The sequence below is a fragment of the Homo sapiens genome, chromosome 11, assembly GCF_000001405.40.
Source record: "Homo sapiens chromosome 11, GRCh38.p14 Primary Assembly".
Classification (NCBI taxonomy): Eukaryota; Metazoa; Chordata; class Mammalia; order Primates; family Hominidae; genus Homo; species Homo sapiens.
Genome location: NC_000011.10, coordinates 115,458,132 through 115,478,416, shown reverse-complemented (window position 1 = coordinate 115,478,416; position 20,285 = coordinate 115,458,132). Strand labels below are relative to the sequence as shown.

The 20,285-nt window shown below is 38.1% G+C and overlaps 1 protein-coding gene across 6 annotated transcripts in view, besides 1 other annotated feature; it reads left to right on the top strand.

The window, feature by feature from the left end:
* Positions 1-20,285, top strand: part of CADM1 (cell adhesion molecule 1) — a 335,180-nt gene that overhangs the window by 25,999 nt on the left and 288,896 nt on the right. The gene's annotated exons all lie outside the window — the stretch shown is intronic.
* Positions 1,535-2,202: an enhancer, noted in NCBI's record as "NANOG hESC enhancer chr11:115346934-115347601 (GRCh37/hg19 assembly coordinates)". NCBI's record gives its function as "activates a minimal SCP1, AML or CMV promoter by ChIP-STARR-seq in primed H9 embryonic stem cells {active_cell/tissue: H9 hESC(primed)}" and the evidence as "EXISTENCE:reporter gene assay evidence [ECO:0000049][PMID:30033119]".

The following is a 20,285-nucleotide window of genomic DNA, read 5'->3' as shown; positions in this document are numbered from 1 at the left end:
GAAACATCATACAGATTTTTAAGCCTTTTCTAGATATTTACCCCTTTTTTTCTTCACATTTTCAGTTATTTTCTGAATATATCCTTTACTTTAGATTATCACTTTGCAAGGTAACCTGTTTTATTTACATTTTAGTTGCTATTGAGTATGCTTTGATGGACTTTGTCTTTTGTTTAAAGCATTATTGCTGGCCTGATTACTAGATTTGTTTTATTTTAAAATTATATGATCTCCATATACAATACCAGAAGATTTAGGAATTTTATGTATAATTTATAGTTTAAAAGTATTTGAATGATTATTGGGATACGTGAAATTTCTTAAAACTGGAATATTTTAATGTAGAATTTGAACAAAGGATACTTTCTGATTAATGATCAGGAATGCATTAACTTATTACCTTTTTGACTTAATTCCTAGGCAATTAATTTTGAGTAGAATTGAACCTCTTATCCAAAACCTCTTTAAAAGCATGTTTCCACCCTTTTCCCAAGGACAAGAATAGAATGGAATCTGTATTCTGCAGGATTTCATCTGGATGCAATTTTCTAGATTCTGCCTCCATTGCACTGAATGTAAAGTTTTCTTGTGTTTGTGTGTGTTTGGTCCCAGGCTCTGCCTGGACCCCAGCTGCAGCAGCAATCTGGAGAAGACACTTCTCCAGTGCAGCCAGTTTGTTTTTTTGCAGAGGAGTCATCAATGCAAATAGGATTAGGAAGAAAATGCACATGGTCTGGCCGTTTATTGCCATTTTCAATGTATAAGCTTAGTTTGTTAGCACACAGAGTGGAGCAGAAATCACTATTCCAGACCCTTGCTGTGAAGTTTACTGTTTCAATACAGTGATGATATCTGTTAGGAGAAAGCTACAAAGTGAGGTAGACTTTAGGTCACAGTGTTGACATTGTGGATATATTTTATGGATCTGTTGACTTAATGCAAGTTTAGAAAACAGGCTTACATTTTTAATTTTCTTCCTGTCTGCTTTGGTTACATGAAGCTGGATAGGCAATTCCTCTTCTTAGAAATAACCATTGGATTCTTGTCCTTGGGAAGAGAATGGAAATAGCCTTTAAAGAGGTTTTGGTTAAGATGTTATTATACCTTGGATAAGATTTAAGGCAGTGTTTAATTTTTTTTTCCATGATCCATGCAACTGTATGCACAATAAATTTATATGGTGTATTTATCCTTTACTGCATTCTGTGTACCTTGATTTTTTTCTTCATTGTGCTCTCATATTTCCTTTCCTTTCCCTTTCCTATCAATCCAAACCTATCCACTATATCCTGTCCACCTTAATCTGTGCACCATCCTATCCTGTCTACCCTATGCTATCCTGCCCTATCCTGCCCGACTCTGTTCTGTACTCTTCAGTTCTAGTCTATTTCTTTTCTTTTTTTTAAAGAAATGCTGGATGTGGCCCATTATATTTATTTTAAGATTTACCATTTGAAAATCATTGATATGAAGGTGGCAGATTATAATAAATAAAATTACCAAAGGGCTTGGATGTTATGTATTTCTTGAGTGTCATCTGTCTCTTTCAGTGGACGTCAGCATGCTGTTAACTCTCAGTTATTATGTGTGCCCCATGGCTTGTTTGCTGGCATAGTAGGATGACAAAGTTAAGTACCTCATTATGAGATATATACGGTTGTTGATTTCTAAGTTATCGTTCTTCCAGGAGAGTTTTTAACTAGGAAGTCTTTATCACCCTGATTCTCTTATCATTGTGTAAATGTTGAGTAGTCTGTTTGTGTATCCGGTGATGCTAATAAGGTCTGCATTTTCTTAGTGTAAATTATGCCCTACAGAATGTTTAATTCTAGGATCATGTTCTCCTACCACGCAGCGTGCTCCTGGCCCCCTCCTGCTGCCATCTCCTGATGCATGCAGAGAGCATGCAAACCCATTGTAACACTGGACTAAGTAACAAAGGGTTTCCACCTCTAAGTTAAGATAAACCTGCCTCAGAGGAAAAACAAACAAACAAACAATCAAACAAACAAATCACCAATCATTCTAGTATAGTTACAAACCACATGGAAATGATCGTGGATTATCTGGTCTTGGTCATCTTTTAGTTTAGATACTTTAGTATTGACTTTGACCAAGATAATTTTATAACTGAATTTTAACCTTTGTTTTTATATTATAAAATTAGAATATAAGTTATATTCTTGAGACTCTTGAGAGTACAGATACTATATATGGCTTGTATATATTGTAGAAGCCAACTCTGTGCCAGGACATAATTGGTTCTTGATAAATATATTGATTTAATTTGAATGTGAATTGCATATTAAATACTGAGACTTTGGTAATACCATAATAATTAAAAATTTTGCTAAGTGCTTACTATGAGCAAGTTACATTCATCATTTCATTGAGTTCCCACTACTATTTTATAAGAGTGAACCTTTTTGCTAGCAGTAATTTTAATTTACACCTTTAAGGATTTATTTTTAAATTTACATAAACTGAAATTTACTTTTTTTGGGTAGAGTTCTGTGAATTTTGACACATGCATAGAATTGTATATCTACTTTACAGTGGTATGATTACCACAGTCAATATACAGTTTCCTCACTCACCCGGATCCCCTCATGGTGTCTCTCTCTAGTCAAACCTCCTTCCAACTGCTAACCTTTGGCAGCCGTATTGATCTGTTTGCCGTTGCTATAGTTTTGCTTTTTCTGGAATGTCATATACGTGGAATCATACTGGATGCAATTTTTGAATGTAGCTTCTTTTACTTAATATATTGCATCTGAAATTCATCAGTGTTACTCTATGTACCTATCTATCAGTTGTTCATTTCTTTTTATTGCCAAGTAGTATTCCACTGGTGTATGGATGTACTATAGTCTATCCCTTCATTCACAGAAGGACATTTAGGCTGTTGACAGTTTTTGGCGATACGAGTAATGTGGCTATGTATCTGGGTGCAGGTTTTTTTGTGAGCCATAAGTTTTCATTTCTATTGGCTAAATGCCTAGAAGTAGATTGCCAGGTCATTTGATAAGTACAGGTGGCTCTCCATATCCAAAGGTTCTGCATCTGTGTATTCAACCAGCTTCAGATAGAAAATATTTGAAAAAATAAAAATTCTTAGCCTAAGGTAGAGAGGAAAAAAAATAAAATTAAAATATACAACAATAAAAAATGATACAAATAAAAAATATAGTATAACAACTATATAGCATTTACGTTCTATTAGGTATTATAAGTAATCTAGAGATTTAAAGTATACAGGAGAGTATGGGCAGGTTCTATGCAAATAGTATACCATTTTATATAAGCGACTCGAGCATCTGAGGATTTGGGTGTGAGAAGGGGTCCTGGACCCAGTCTCTCATGAATACTGAGGGACAACTATACATGTTTAAGAAACTGCCAAACTATTTTCTAGAGTGACTGTACCATTTTGTTTTCCCACCACAATATATAGGGATTCCAGTTTCTCTAAATCCTTGTCAACACTATATTGTCAGTATATGTGTGTGTGTTTAGTTGTAGTCATTCTAGTAAGTATGTAGAGATATCTCATTATGGTTTTTTTAATTATTATACTTTAAGTTTTAGGGTACATGTGCACAACGTGCAGGTTTGTTACATATGTATACATGTGCCATGTTGGTGTGCTGCACCCATTAACTCGTCATTTACATTAGGTATATCTCTTAATGCTATCCCTCCCCCCTCCCCCCACCCCACGACTGGCCCTGGTGTGTGATGTTCCCCTTCCTGTGTCCAAGTGTTCTCATTGTTCAATTCCCTTCTATGAGTGAGAGCATGCGGTGTTTGGTTTTTTGTCCTTGTGATAGTTTGCTGAGAATGATGGTTTCCAGCTTCATTCATGTCCCTATAAAGGACATGAACTCATCCTTCTTTATGGCTGCATAGTATTCCATGGTGTATATGTGCCACATTTTCTTAATCCAGTCTATCATTGAAGGACATTTGGGTTGGTTCCAAGTCTTTGCTATTGTGAATAGTGCTGCAATAAATGACTACTGATGTTGAGCAAGTTTTCACATGCTTATTTGCGATATGAATATCTTGGTGAAGTGTCTATTCAGATATTTTGCCTAATTTTTTTTTTTTTTTTTTTTTTTTTTTTGAGATGGAGTCTTGCTCTGTCACCCAGGCTGGAGTGCAGTGGCGCTATCTCAGCTCACTGCAAGCTCTGCCTCCTAGGTTCACGCCATTCTCCTGCCTCAGCCTCCAGAGTAGCTGGGACTACAGGCGCCCACCACCACGCCTGTATTTTTTGTATTTTTAGTAGAGACCGGGTTTTACCATATTAGCCAGGATGGTCTTGATCTCCTGACCCCATGATCCGCCCACCTCGGCCTCGCAAAGTGCTGGATTACAGGTGTGAGCCACTGTGCCCGTCCATATTTTGCCTATTTTTTAAAAACTAGGCCATTTTCTTATTGTCAAGTATTGAGAGTACTGGGTATAAGCCTTTCATGAGATATATGATTTGCATACGTTTTCTCATAGACTGTAGGTTTTCTTTTCAGTCTCTTAATAGTGTCTTTTGCTGGTTCTTAATTTTTATAAAGTCCAGTTTATTAATTTTATATTTTATGGGTTGTGTTTTTGATGAGGTAACTAAGAACTTATTGTCTAACCCAAAGTCATGAAGATTTTGTCTTGTTTTTTTTCCTAAAAGTTTTATAGTTTGAGATTTTGCTTTTTGGTCTGTGATTTATCTTGAGTTACTTTTTGTATAAAGTATTAGGTATACATTGAAATTTGTCTTTTCTGCCTATAAATGTTCATTTGTTTCAGAAGCATTTGTTGAAAAGACTATTCTTACTCCTTTTAACTGACTTTGCACCTGTGTCAGAAGTCAATTGACCATATTTGTGTAGTTCTGTATTTGGATTCTTTCTGATTAAAGCTTGTCTATCTTTCTGCCAATTGAGGTAGTTACTTTTCTTTTTGAGACAGGATCTCACTGTGTCATCCAGGCTGGAGTGCAGTGGCGGCATAATGGCTCACTGCAACCTTGAACTCCTGGGCCCAAGTGAACCTCCCGCCTTTGCCTCCCGAGTAGCTGGGACTACATGTGTGTGCCACCACGCCTGGCGAATTTTTTAAAATTTTGTAGATAGGGGGCCTTGCTATGTTCCCCAGGCTGGTGTCAAACTCCTGCCCTCAAGCGATCCTTCTGCCTTGGCCTCCCAAAGTGTTGGGATTATACACGTGAGCCATCATGCCCGGCCTGCTTACTTTTTAAACCTCAGATTACTGATGAGGAAAAGGAGTCTTAGTCAAATTAAGTACCTTGCCTAAGATGATTCAGCTAGCAAATGATTGCATTAATACTTAAACTAGGGCGAGTTTTCTGACTATGAAACTTGTGCTGAGAAGCTATGTTAGCACCTGTTCTTACCTTAGTTATTTTGCTTCTGGTTGAAATGTTTGGTTTTAAGAAACTGAACAGTATGGTTTTGGAAGAGTACATATGACAAGTAGATCACAGAAAATTATCTGAAATAAGAAATCTAAGGTTTTTTTTCGCTTTCTAGGCCATTAATTACCAGACATAATTAATTTTCAATATCTTTAACAAGGTATAATATTCTTTTCTAAATCCAAGGTAGCTGTATATCATTTTTCTTTATTTTAAATAGAGCAACATAAATATATGTTCCTTGTACAGCAAGGAAAGGATGTTAGGGTTTGTGCATGTGAGAACACAGATGGGCTAAGAGTGATTTGCATCCAGAGGGCTCATGCAAGGAACTTGGTAAGAGGTTACAGAGTGACACTACTGTGGCAGTGAATAATAAATTAACATTTCAATATTGGCAAACCGGAGAATTTTGAAGAATGTCATATTTAGTTAATTTCTGATTATTACAAACTAAGCCTGTACATTGATTTGTTAATAACTAGGCATGCATGTGCACGTGCATGTGCACTCTCTCTCACACACACACCCCCCCCTATATACATATATATGTTTTTTGAGGGGCATCTTTAGTGATTTCAGCCTGGGTACTCTGTTCTAATATATGCTCTTCCTTCTGAGAACCCATTTACTGTCACAGATCCAACTTTCTTCCAAAGGCAAATGACTCCAAACCCATATCTGTGTTGTGATCCACTGTTAAACTTAATTTCCCTCCCTGGGCTCTGACATCTACTTAGCTATAGGATACAATTACTAGGATGACCTTTTGATATTGGTAACTTATACACAAAACTGAGTTCCGTTTCTCCTCATCCTCACAAATAAGCAACCATTCTCAGTTTCCCCTTTATTTTCTTGAAGATAGACTTGCTCTTTGGAACCTCAGAATCATTTTTGACTCTCTCTTTCTGGGACCCTGGTGTGGTCAAATCTGTAGTCAATTTCTGCTGATTGTCTGTGCCTGGTTGGTTTGGACCTAGCTCCTCTTTCCCCTTGCAGTGCCTGCCATGGCCCCTTGCCCTCTTCTTCCTCCCTTGATTTACGTTCACCTTTTTAATGCCTGCTAGCTTCTGTACATGAACTCTTTGCATGCCCAACCCAATCTTTCTTGTTTTATGACCACTGGTCTTGCTATTCATTCCATCCATGGTGTCTTCCTTCTCCCCCACTATCTCTGCAGATTGAAAGCTAAAGTATAGCTCACTGCCATCTCACGTTTGAAACCCTCCAGTTCACTCCAGTCAACAAACTCCATCTCTCCTCCGATCTCAGCCCATATTGTGCCCAGGCCAGCAGCGTCAACAGAATCTGGGAACATGTTAGAATGCCCCACTCCAGACCTGCTGAGTCAGAAACTCTGGGGGTGGAGCCTAGAAATCTGTGTGTAACAAGCCTTTGGGGTCATTCTGACACCAGCTAATGTTTGAGAACCAGTGTACTGTGTAAACCCAGATTCACATACTCAGTGTGAAAGGCTGAGTAGCCCTACCTCTCTTCAGCCCACTTCCATTGCTCAGCCTCTGTGAGCTTTTTCATTTTGAATACCTGCATCTCCTTTTCTTAGTCACTTCTAATTCCTCATTTAAAATGTCAGTCCCAAAATTCACTTCCTCGAGGCAGTCTCAGTTCACTGTTTGAGCAATAGGTGCTTGGTTTATATTCTGCTCTTTTCTCCTTGTTGATCATGTTTTTCTGTAAGGACTTTGGTTGACTGCTGTATGTATGTTCTGTCCTTTTGACAGACATGTGTTCCCCCAAAATGGCACAGGCTATATTTGGTACAAATTTTTGGTCTGTCAATTTCACTAATAGGTCGGAGAAAAAAAAATTTAACTGTCAACACAGCAAATATGTCCCTGAGTAGAAAGGAAAATGTACATGAATAGCCAAGAATGAAGATGTTTGTGCTAGGGCAGCTTTTGGCTATGTCTTAGGCTACTCAGGGTATTCATTAATTCCCTCTCCTCTGATGTTGGAGGGTGTCCTGGTTAAAAAGTCTGGGGCACCTCTGCTGACACGAGGAAAGGGAGCACGTACTGCAGAGAGGGGGACCAGTTTTGACTTCGGGGTCCTTCACTTCTTCCAGTGATTGATTCCCATTGTTTGACCTTAGTTTCCTGATAAAAAATTGGGATAATACTGTCTACTTCATATGATTGTTATATTGCAAGGATTAAGTGAGATTTGGTAGGTAATGTCCTTGTACAATCCCTGTCCTACATTAGGTGCTCTATAAATGGTAGCTTTTATTAACTCTACCAGGACAGCACACTTAAAGAAAAAAATCATTCCACAAAAGCAGTTCTATTTGCTGCATAGTAGGCCCTTAGTAAATGTATTGAATGATATATATATATGGCATTTCATGGTTCTGGTCTGTGCAAATGTCCTAATTTGTACAGGGCTTCAAGTTTTAGTGCTTTATAATTGTTAATGAATGGTAAGAAATATTACTTGACTTTTTGACAAATCTATTGCATTTCTTAAAAATTTTCCATTCAACTTTAGTTTTAATGGATGATAGCTTACTTTCTAATAGTATCTGAAAGGTTTTTTTCCAGTAGAATAAATTAGGCTGGTTAAATGGGCTTTTTGACACAATGCCCTCCCAAGAATGTTGTTTCATTGCCAATGGCTAGTTTAATCAGTATTATTGAAGACAGTTTCAAACTACTCTGCTACTTGGTTCTTTATTTAGTTTTTATTCTTTTCCTAACACACCTAATTAATGGAACTGTCCAGTGGTCTAACATGGAGAAGGAGAGAAGATGACATTATGAAAAGTTTAATCATTATAATAGCAGCTAACGTTTGTCTGGCATGTTGTAGTTTACAGAATACTTTAACATGCATTGTATCATATCTCACAGTGTAGGCATTACTATTATTTTTATTTTGCTGATAAGAGTAAAAAGTAGGCATTACTATTTTTTTATTTTGCTGATTAGAAAATTGCTGCTCTGCTTAATGACCAAGGTCATGGAAGCAGAAGGTAAAATAAAAGCCCCAGGGCTGGGCACGGTGGCGCATACCTGTAATCCCAGCAATTTGGGAGGCCGAGGCGGGTGGGATGACCTGAGGTCAGGAGTTCAAGACCAGCCTGGCCAACATGGCGAAAGCCCGTCTCTACTAAAAATACAAAAATTAGCTGGGCATGGTGGCGGGTGCCTGTAATCCCAGCTTCTCGGGAGGCTGAGGCAGGAGAATCTCTTGAACCTGGGAGGCGGAGGTTACAGTGAGCTGAGATAGTGCCACTGCACTCCAGCTTGGGCAACAGAGAGAGACTCTGTCTCGAAAAAAAAAAAAAAAAAAAGCCCAGAAGTTGAGGATAGTATGGTTATGTAAAAGTTTCACTTCCTCATGATTAGGAAAAGAATAAAAACTAAATAAAGAACCAAGTAGCAGAGTAGTTTGAAACGGTTTAATGCATGTAGACAATTTACAGTTTCATGTCATCCTAAAGCACTGCCTCCCACAGCTTATTTATGTGGAACAAGAGACTGACCACCTGGTTTCACACCTTGATTCTGCCACTTCCTTTCTACATGATCTCAGTCAGGTTGTTCAATCTCTTTGAGCCTCAGTCTTTCCATTTATAAAATGGGGAAGGATAATGGCATCCACCTCATAGAGTTGTTGTATTAAAATGAGTTAATATATGTAAAACTATTAGAACAATGCCTGGGACATAGAAGGTGCTAGGTAAGTAGGTAAATGTCAGCTATTATTATTTTTTATAGAGGAGTGGCTGAAGTGCTTTATATGAAAGGTGAGTATACTTAGCCATATTTATAATTAGAGAAGTAGAAATCAGAGCTTCTATAAGAGTTCAATAGTGCAGAATGTATATTTTGCATCTTAGGTATTGATGTGGTGTGGCTGTGTCCCCACCTAAATCTCATCTTGAACTGTAGCTCTCATAATTTCCACGTGTTGTGGGAGGGACCCGGTGGGAGGTAATTTAATCATGGGGGTGGGTTTTTTTCTGTACTGTTCTTTTAATAGTGAATAAATCTCATGACATCTGATGGTTTTATAAAGGGGAGTTTGCCTGCACATGCCCTCTTGCCTGCTGCATGTAGGACGTAACTTTGCTCCTCCTTTGCCTTCTGCCATGATTGTGAGGCCTCCCTGGCCATGTGGAGCTGTTAGTCCATTATACCTCTTTTTCTTTATAAATTACCTAGTCTCAGGTATGTCTTTATTATTAGCATGAGAACAGACTAATACAGGTATCATGCCCTAGTCTGGGTTTTCCTGTAGACTTATGTTCATTTACTAACCTTGGGATAAATGAAAATTTGGAGCATGCCTGTATGATTTCTCTTTCTAAAAACTCAAAACCCACAAAACTACAGTAAGGTGCTGTCCCCCTTCCATTATCCATAGACCCTTTTGCCTTTCTTAAAAAACACATGCACAGCACTCACACAGACACACCCCTGTAAGACATAAGGTACCTTGGCCATTTTCATGAAACTGTTGTTAATTCCTTTCTTTAAAATTGAAGTCTTTTAGGATTTTAACAAATATCCTATTCATGAAGTTTTGTCTGTTCTTTTCTTCTGGATTTCACAACTCACCTGTTCTAGGAGAGTCTTCATTATTTTGGAGAAGGCTTCAAATCTACTATCTTCAAGCTTTTTTCTTTCCAGTGCACCCGTCTCATCTCATGTAACGTGGTGCTGGGAATATAAGACTGAGATTGTGATGCTCACAGTTTTTCTTCTTTGTAATTTTCTGTGTCTTGATTTTTTCCCCCAATGAACATGTATCTATTTCACAAAATCTATTTTACTGTTAAATAAAATTTTGGTAAACACTGGAAGTAGGAAATTAAAATGTGCAAAATTGTAAATTATCATTACAGTTTACTTATCTTTCTTGTAGATACCAGATACAGAATGCTTTTGTTTTATTACATCTTTTTCTATATGCAAACCGTAAGCTGAGTGTAGCACCTGGTTATGAAATTTTGTACTTATAGAATATATTCACTTTTATTGGTGGCTATAATCAAGATGAAATGCTTTTCTTAATAATTAATGTTAAGAAGAGAAATGTAAACTTTAGACAACTTTATGACTTCTCTCCAGAGGATGTATGGATGTGACTGGGTATGTGATTTAAAAAATTTTTAAAGTTCTTTGGATTTTTTTTCTTTTGTTTAAAGGTCCTTAGGCGTTTGCCTTGGCTTGCTGAAGAGTAAGGAGAAAACCCTGTAAACTCATTCACTCAGAATAGGATGAGAGTATTGTAGATTTCTTTTCTCCTTTGAGACAATTTTAAAATTACAATGGTCTTAGCCTAAGTGGTCCCTGTTACGGCTTCTCTCTTTTCCATGCTCAACACAGCCTTTGAGGAGGGGCTGAGGGACACGCCACCTGTTTTCAAGTGTATTTATTTCTTTATGCCTTAATATGCCTAGTGCATCTCAGAATGGAAATGTCCTGGAAATTGAACAGCTTCATAGTTGGGTGGCCCCATGAGCATTTAGGAAATATTTTGTGAAACTGTTGTGGTCATCTTGTGTACTGGTTCTGGTACTTTAATCCATCATTTTGGGATCATAGCTCTTCTGAGGAAAGAGCAGCCTTGCACCTTCAAGCCTTTCTATCTTCAATCAGTTGGGTTTGCGTATTCGAGCTCATTCCAGTTCATGATTGGCAGTTTTTGTGTTAGGTACCCACTCTGAAGTGTTCCCTATCGTTTAGAAGGTAGAAGTAGTCATCAGTGACTGAAGCCTAATTTAGATTCTTAAATCGAAATCATTGTTGAAGAATACTGCTCCTCCACTACAGACGTCTTGTGCATATCATGAGTGTCTTCATCAGAGAACAAGCTCTCACCCGGTCTCTCATAATATAAAAGCATTTTTAATCCCTCTTAACAGGTGCTGCCGCAGTTTATTTATAACTAATGCATTAAAATGAAAAATACTGAAAGGGTCCTAAGTGGAAGGTGGCTATTGAAATATTGCCATATTTAAATTATAGAATTTTGTCAGGCTGATTTGTGGAAAGGACGAGTCAATGTTGGCTGGTAAGTGATGTACTCACAGGTTTCCTGTAAGTTCGGGTGGTGCTTTCCGCAGTGTATATAAGTGGGTTGTGCAAAATCTGAGACCTACGATTCAATTGATTTTCCTTTGCATAATCATAATCATATTCATATTTGGTCAGCTTTCATGCTCTTTGATATTTCTGATCCTTATGAAGCATGACAAATGTTAGAACTCTTTTGGCCTTCTAGACTTATTGCAGCACAAAAACTCGAGATCCTAATTGAAAGAATTTTGAAGAGTGTTTCATTTAACCCTTTTCTTCCTCGTCCAAATTTGATCTCACACATGGGGAAGGTAAATGCACACCTTAATATTGGTGCAACATGTTATTCTGAAGACACGTGCTAAACATTTGAAAGTCTTGTTGATTTATATTTCCACCATGTTTTCTCTTTCCTGAAAAACCTTAGCCAGCGACTGAAGTAGTTGGGTTGTATTAATGGATGTTTATGTTGTCCTGTGACAGCTGGTTTTGCTAATTTGTTTTTACAGGGCAGTTTGTAGTAAATGAATGGCATGCTGAATATTTTACTGAGATTTCAGATTATCTAAAGAATATTTTCCGGTTTACTAATTGGTAGATAATGCTGAGTACATTGATGTTGACATGAGCAAATGGATTTAAAATGATTTGAAGTGAGCTTCATTAAAAGATGCTCTAATCACAGCCAGCAGGAAATGTCAAACTAGTTCTGCCTTCATTCACTCTGGTGGACAGGAACTGTTGCAGACTTACGATGCTACAAGTCATTGCAGTTTTGATTTTGGGGTGCCACAGGGTGGGGGAAATGGTGGAAGTTTTTTTTTCATAGCTTTTTTGGCTCATCATGTCTTTACCAGAAACTAAATAACAAATTACTAATTACCTGTATGGCTAAATGAACATTCTCTGAAAATCATAGTCACATTGCTGGAGTCTTATAATCCATTATGGGTTGAATACATGGAAGTCATGTTTGTTGCTCACTCTGAACTAGAAGTCTGTAAATTACTTGTTATCCATTTTAGCAGAATTCTATTATAGAATTAAAGCCAGTGGTGCTCATCAAAACATTAAGAAAAACCTAGGCAAAGGCATTCCAAATTCCCAGGTTAAAACTTACAACACTGGTTCTACTTTTCCTGCCTGTAAAAAGTTATAGAGGCTGTTTCATCAAAATTGAATGCTTGGGGAAAAAAAATCTAAGGGAGGCAGATTCTGAAGTAAGTCTCTTCAGGATTAAAATCTGTCTTTTTCTGATATCGACTGTGCGACTTTGTGCAAGTAACCTAACCTGCCTGAACCTTCGTTTTCTTGTCTGTAAAATGGGGATAATAATATCTATCTCATGAGGTCATGGGACTATCTTTATATCTATATGCTTTTCATGGTAGAAGGTACTTGGTAAGGGCTCTATTAGTGTTAGCTATTGTAACCTAAATACATTTATTTCCTTCTTTTAATACCTGGGGAAAGGTTGTGGGTGTCATATGCCAAGACATTAACTAGACATCTTATTTCTACTGATTGTAAGTTTACTAAACACCTCTCATGTCACTCAGAACAGAGCTATCTAGAACCAGTAAGTTCATCATATGGAGCTTTTTGGATCTAGGATATAATGAGACTAGCCCAAATTCATGCAGTAAGTTATTGGGTAATCTTGCTGCAGTAATCTTGTTTTTCTCTTTGACTGTTATCAAAATGTCTTTTTCTTCAAGCCCGGATGTAGTATGCTGAGGTAGTAGCACTCATAGGCAGAGATCAACGGCTCTAATTATTTCACAATAAAAATAATATGATGCAGGAGTCTGTATAATGCTAATGAAATCTAGGTACATGGCAAGCAACCTGTTCTTTTCAGCTTCCTCATTAGCATCAGATTTGCCTAGATGCCCAGATAAGTGGTTGTACAGGTTGTGTATATTTTAAATAGCATTCCTCTGGGTCAGCCCAACAATGCTGTAAACTTGATGCCCAGTAGATAGGAGTGCCTCCTGGAAATTTCTTGAAAACATGGTACCAGATTAGGAGATCGATAAAGGATGCTGATACTGGCATAGAATGTTCTAGAATAACTGAGCAACATCTTTTAAGTGATCTGGTATTGTTGGTTCAAAGCTTCTGGCTGTATTACATATAAATTTGGCCTATGTGGTTGAGAAGAAATTGCCCTACTCATCTATTCAGTCAGGGTTCTGCAAGACAACTGTAAATTGTTTTCTTTTTCTCTTTTTATTCCCCCTTAATGCCACAGTGTGTTTTGAAGAGGGAAGAGTGAAAAACAAAAAAGTTCCACTTGAATGACCCTATTAGCTTTACACTGGTTTCTGTAAACCATGCCAGAAATATAATAATCTATGAGGTCTTTGAGTTTAGGACACAGCCTCTGTTGACAAATATAAAAAATGGCACACCAGACTGCAGATGTGGATTGTGGGTTAGTCTGGCCTTCCCTCATCAATGGGGAAATGGAGCTTAAGTCAGGCTTAGAAAATGAGAAAAATGCTTAAGGGACATGACTAATGTCTCCAACGTGCAGTACACTACATAAACCTATTATGCGCTTTAATTTAATGTTCTCCATAAAGATTCAGGACCTGTCAGTAGAAGGAAAGAAACAAGCAATCCATCTTTAGTGAACTGTGAATAGACTTTTATATTTTTTAAAATACACACGCACCTATAACATACTTTTCCCTTCCTTCGGTTTTCTCCACATCTGATCCATTTCCTGTCTTGAACTGCCACTACCTAGGCTGCTTGTGGATTGTTTTGTTCAGTGAAATAAGACTAATGTGTTAAATATTTAACATTGCTAATTGGTTCAATGTAAAGGAAAAGGGAATAGATGCAGATTGTCTCCAGTCTCTGTCAGCAGACTTCAGCAAACAAGACTGGAAGGTCTGAATTGAAGATGTTTCATCTCAGGGACTTAAAGGCCTATGGGATAATATAGCATTTCTTGCAAGTGGCAATTGGGCCAAAATTGGGAGAAAAATTAATTTGCACCTGGCAGCTGGAAAGCTGAGGATCTATTTCTATAGAAAATTTGGCTGCACCCCGCCCCCGGCCCAAAAAAAAAAAGCTTTTTGTTTTCAGGCTCCAGGTGTAGATTGAAAGATAACAAAATGGATGTGACATTTTACTGGTCTTATCTCCTTTGCAGGTTGGGAGCGTTAAAACACTTAGCTGTACTTCACTAAAGCAAGCTGAAATTTGCAGATGATTGTAATTGATGAGTAAGGAAGTAGAAACCCCACTGGGTCAGTGAGAATTTTTCCATTATGAAAACATAACCTTTCATAGGAGAACCCAATGGCAGTGAAATGTCAGATACCTGGATTTTTACAAAGGAAAGGAAGGCAAATCTGTATTGTTTCCTATAATACAATTCTGAAACAGGAATGTACATATATATCTCATTCTCTTTTGAGGTTGTTTTGTTGTCTGCTGTGTCTAGGTGAAAAGAACTCACAGTGACATCAGTTTTTGCTTTGAATTGATTTTTTCTTTAAACCAGAGGTGAATGGCACCTAAGAAATTATTTAAATCAGGATATAAAAATATTATATGTTTTAACAAATGTTGACATTGGTAGCTAGTCTGAGCTGTTCTTTTTTCTGGAGGAAAGACATTAGTAAACTGAGGTGGGGATAGAATTGTTTCAAGGGCTGTGGTCAGAGGTGTCTAAGTGCTGAAAAAATAAGTTTGATGAGTTAAAGCAGAGGGCTTCCAGAGTGGGGTCCATAGGATCAATCAATAGCCTTCAGGAGGTTGGTGAGTCCCCAGAAATAACATGCAATATTTTGCATGCATTTTTTTGGGGAGAGTCTGTGTTAAAACTAGATTCTTAAAGGGGTAGAGACCATGCTGAAGTAAAGCTACTCCTGCCAGCTATCTCCAAGTGCCTATTTTACAGGAGCCCATGAGCTCTAGCTCAATTTATTTCTCCCCTTTCTTCCCAGTCACCATCCCCTTCCCTAGTGGGCACCTACTACTTCATCCCTCTTCATCCTGCTTCATCCCCTTTCCTTCTTTCTCCCCTTTCTATTCTTGATCCCACTGCCTTTCTTATGTGTGGACCTTTTAAAAGAGGATGGTCTAGGTGCTAGCCATATAGACTGCCACGCAAACTGGAAGGGCCTCTCTTAAACCTTCCTGCCTTGAAAGTCAGGGAAATAGGCTCCCAGCCTCTGCCTGGACAGAACAATTAAGTCTTGTTGTGATTATAACCCTTACCTCGTTGATATTCAGATACTTTTCAACATAATCATGTTTTTCTAATGTCCCTTACTTTCCTCCCTCCTCCTCCTCCACATCAAAAATAAATTATTTGTGGAATATTTAATAGGTTCATGGGGCTCTGCTCTGGTGTTATCTGTTTTAATTCTGTGTGAGATGAGATGCGGCACTTGTCAGCAGAGGCCGCTGATGATGTCGGTACACCTTACTGAGCACAGGTCACGGTGGCCTGCAAGCCAGATTGGGTGATTCAGCCAAAGGAGCGTCACTCTGTCGAGTGGGAGAACTCACAGATAACCCGAGGTGCTCACATTTAGCCCTGTATGTAGTGCAGGTGATATGCAAGGCGGTTCCTTTCCGGTTTAACTCTCGCCTCTTCCTGGGCTGCTTTTCAGCCATTCATTTGTCCGGCGGAAGCAGTCAGCTTTCTGAAATAGATCACGATTTAATTGCCGCTGCCTCCGCTGTACTGAAATGAAACTTTCGAAGGTCACCAAGCATCAGTGGCCCTTAGTTAAGCATTATCTTCTTTGCCCGCCCCACAGTATTTGGCACCATTAACTTCTGTTTCCATTTAAAAATTCCTCCATTTGTTCTGCAGCACTGCCTGTACCTCTTTGGATAGCATTATTTGGCAGCACTTGGGCTAGCTCTTTTTTCTCCCTCTACCGGCTAAATGTTTCCCAGTGTTTTGTCCTCGGTTATTTGCTTCCCTTTTTCCATGGGTTCTCTTTGGTGTTCTAGATCTTATTCCCTCTCACAACTTCAAGTGTTGCTTTTCCCTACAGCCCAACTTTTTTCTTTTCTTTTTTTAAATTCCTGAACTGCATTGTCAACTACCTGCTGTTCCTGCTACCCCTGGGAGTCCCCCTGCCCTCTCAAACTTCCCTGTTTAAAAAAGAGCTTACCTCCAACTATTCACTATCTCACTTCCCAAGCAAATATACAAATATACTCAAAATACAAAACCCCAAATTAGAAAGGCTGCCCCTATGGCCATCACCAAAAAGCAAGTCCCTCAACAGGTTCATCCATATTCATTTCTTTTTCCTTTCATAGCTCACCGCCGTTCACCTAGGCAGCCCCTGAACCTAAATCTCTGCAGACATCTTCATCTTCTTTTCATGCTTCATGTGCAAGTAGTTGCCAGATCTTCCTGACCTTGGTAATAAAACATTGCCTACATCCGGACTTCCTTTTGCTTTGCTCAGGGTCAGTTTCTTATTCCCTCATGGCTGTGGTCTATACCATTCCCCGTTAGCTGCTCACCTGTTTTCCTAACTTGCGATTCTCCACAGTTTGCAGTTTCTCACCTTTAAGAATTTTGTTCAGCTTTTATCTTCTCCCATATCCATTCTTTGAGATATTATTTACCCTTTACCTTCCTATATGAAGATGACACCTTCCCTGACAACCTTTGCTTTATCTCAACTACATTATTATTTTTTGTGAGATGTATACTATCCAATTATGTTTAGAGTTTTAAATCACCCTACTAAACCACAAATATTGACAGATTGGGAGCTTTATTATATATATACTTATTATATAATACAAGTATGTGTGTGTGTGTGTGTGTTTCCATTTCCATTGCACAGTACCAGGTACACGTTAGGAACCCAGTAAATCTGTATTGAATGAATGAATGCCTACACTGAAATTTTACTTCAGGTTGGTTAGCAGGCTTAGAAGATCTCTTCCTACTAAAGATCTTTTGCTAATTGTTTTTGGAGCCTTTCTATTTAGCCATGCAAATTAGCATGGGTTCATAGGCCCAGAACCTGAAATAAATTAATCCGTACTTGAAAGGAACAAGGCTGTGGCTGTATATGGATTTCAGGAAAAAGAAAAATGGAAAACATTGAGCCAGTGTCCAGTTGATATAAGTGCTTCCTTGTGTTTTTTTTTTTCTTTCTTTCTAGTGCATAGGCAGTATAAAGTTACTTTTACCTCCAGTGACCCAGGCCAGAATCATGGCAGTACTGTCACCAGAGCTGAGAAAAGGGAGAATAAGAGGTACATTAGAGAAAGAAAGTATGATGCTTCACCATGTTAATTACTCAATAAATAACTTTTGTTATTATTAGGGCTGTTATTATCATTTCTAGTTCCATTATTTATTGCCACTTAAAACAATTCTGGTGACAGTGCATTTAGAGATCTTCAGAGAAAATTATGTAAATCCAGTAGCGAAAGGTTAATGCATGGTTTTTGGCCCAAGTATTTCTATAGCCCTTGGTTACTTGTGGGAGAGGATTTTGTCAAGCTAGTAAAGCTGTGTGTAGTTGAGTTGTATTGTTTTGGGCTATTTGTAAATATTGTATTGTGTGACATACTTCTAGCACCTGAAAAGCCTGGCCTTTGGGACTGATTTTAAGAGCTGTTCACGTTGTGTGAACCAATACCCATGGCCAAAGGGAAAAGGTTTGCGTTAGAGAGCAAACTGAAATTAAAAGGGTGGGTGTGCGGTGTCCTTCAACCCTTGTGTAGACTAGCTGTGCGGCAGCAATTGCTGCCCAGAAGTAAGACTGAGAAGCTTACGATAGCCTAAACCTCAGGAGAGGGGGTTTGGAAGGTAGGGGGGCTTTCTCTAGAAACAGAATCTTTTTTGTGAGTCTACCTGCCAACTAGAAAAAAAGGGTGCTAGGTGTTCAGATCTGCTTTGCAGGTTCCAAAGCACCTAAGTACATTTTCAGTTCCAAAATTTAAATCCTGTTTGTGGGAAATCAGTAGAGGGTTTAATAGAAGCTTAAACAAATTATATATAAACACACAGAAGTAGTCTGGCCTGAGTATGGAAAGGCCAGAAAGTCTGAGTGTTATGGTGAAGTAGTAGGAGGTAATTTATTTTTAAAATTTATTGAACCCACTGAAGCATAAGTGTGTGAGGATAAGAGAAAACCATATGCACATATGGTCCAGAATGAAATTCTTCAGATTTCTGAGATGGTTGCAAGTAGTGACTAAACCATTTTGAATTAACTTTGTGTGTGAAAGTCTTTTCAATCCTTCCAATTTAGTCTCTTCAGGTTCACTAGTGGTGGAAAGAATCAACTGGTCCATGCCACCATTAGACTGGACTGCCAGCAGGGAAGTAAGAGCCTCCTTATCTTTGCTCAGAGTATGCTCTCTCTCTTTTTTTCACTTTCTTCTCTCTTTCTTTTCTTTCTCTCTCTCTCTCTGGGAAGCAAAGGGGATGGGTGAAGATCTCTACATTTCTTTTCTTGAGAGAAAGGCAGGTCTGAGTGAAAATTTATTCATAGCTTTTTCATTTCTCTTTGGAAAATGTAATTGTGACATTGTAGCTATAAATTCAATGTTTAAAAAGTATAAAACTCTATCAAGGGAATAGAATATTTTCACCTTAGTTATTTGTGAAAGTTAGGCCTTTTGTTGGGTGGGGAGAACACACGTAATACACTGATAGTAGAGAGTAATCTGCAGTAAGATCTAATCAGAGGAAAATCTGAAGGAATCAGACCAGAGACAGATCACTGACCGGAATACAGAAGTGCATTGTGCAGCAATAACACTCCTTTCCATTCATTATTGCAGTTATAATTATGGAACCCAACATATTTAATTGGCACAGTGTACTCTTCTCTGGTGAATAGATTGCATTGTTCCTGTTTTAAAAACCCTTATGCATCATGAATCCATGCACATGTTGCTCTTTGGCTCTCGAGAGGTTTCTTTGTTTACATGATGAGTGATTAACCGAATTGTGAAGCCTTGCTATGCGTTGTATGCAAAGATGAAGTGAAAAGGGGTATCTACTCTGTTCTAACTTTGAAGGGCTTTGATTAATTTAAAAAATCTATTAGATCTTTGTGAGGATGTATGCCTTAACTTAGAAATATGTAAATGGAAATATCAGTTGAGTTTGATATCTGGGCTAGTCTTTTATCTGATTCTGGAGGACCTGTTAATGGAAATTATGTCTGGTGGGATGTTATTGGTACATGCATTAGATTACAAGCCACAGAAGTGGTATTCCTGAAGAGGTATGTGGTTACTGAACCCCTAGAAATGAGATCAATGCTAAATGTGGATGGGGGGAAAACACTCTCCCCTTATATAGGACTTTCCAGTGGATTCCAGGGACTTTTGTCTAGCTTGCAAGATAAAATGCTTGCATGGACTAGGGGCAGGGTATAATGTAATAATAATAATAATAATAATAATAATAATAATAATAATTACAGCTAACATTTAGGAATACCTACTGCCTGCCAAGCACCCTGCTAAGTAAACATTTTACATTTATTGTCTTATCTAATTCTCACCCCTATTCTAGTGTCTACTATTATCCTCATTTTACTGATGAGGAAACTGAGCATTGGATAGATTACATTTTCTTGTTTGAAGATCACACACCTAACAAAGCTGGGATGTGATGATCTCAGTTGCTTTTCACTTTTGCTGCTTGCTGTAGAACATATTGGTAAAGCATAGCTCATTGTTTTAAAGCCTTTATAATTATAGTTACGTTGTTCCTCACTACATATGAGCATTTATACTTTTGAAAATTAATCAGAGCTCAGTGTAATTAGAGAGAGAGA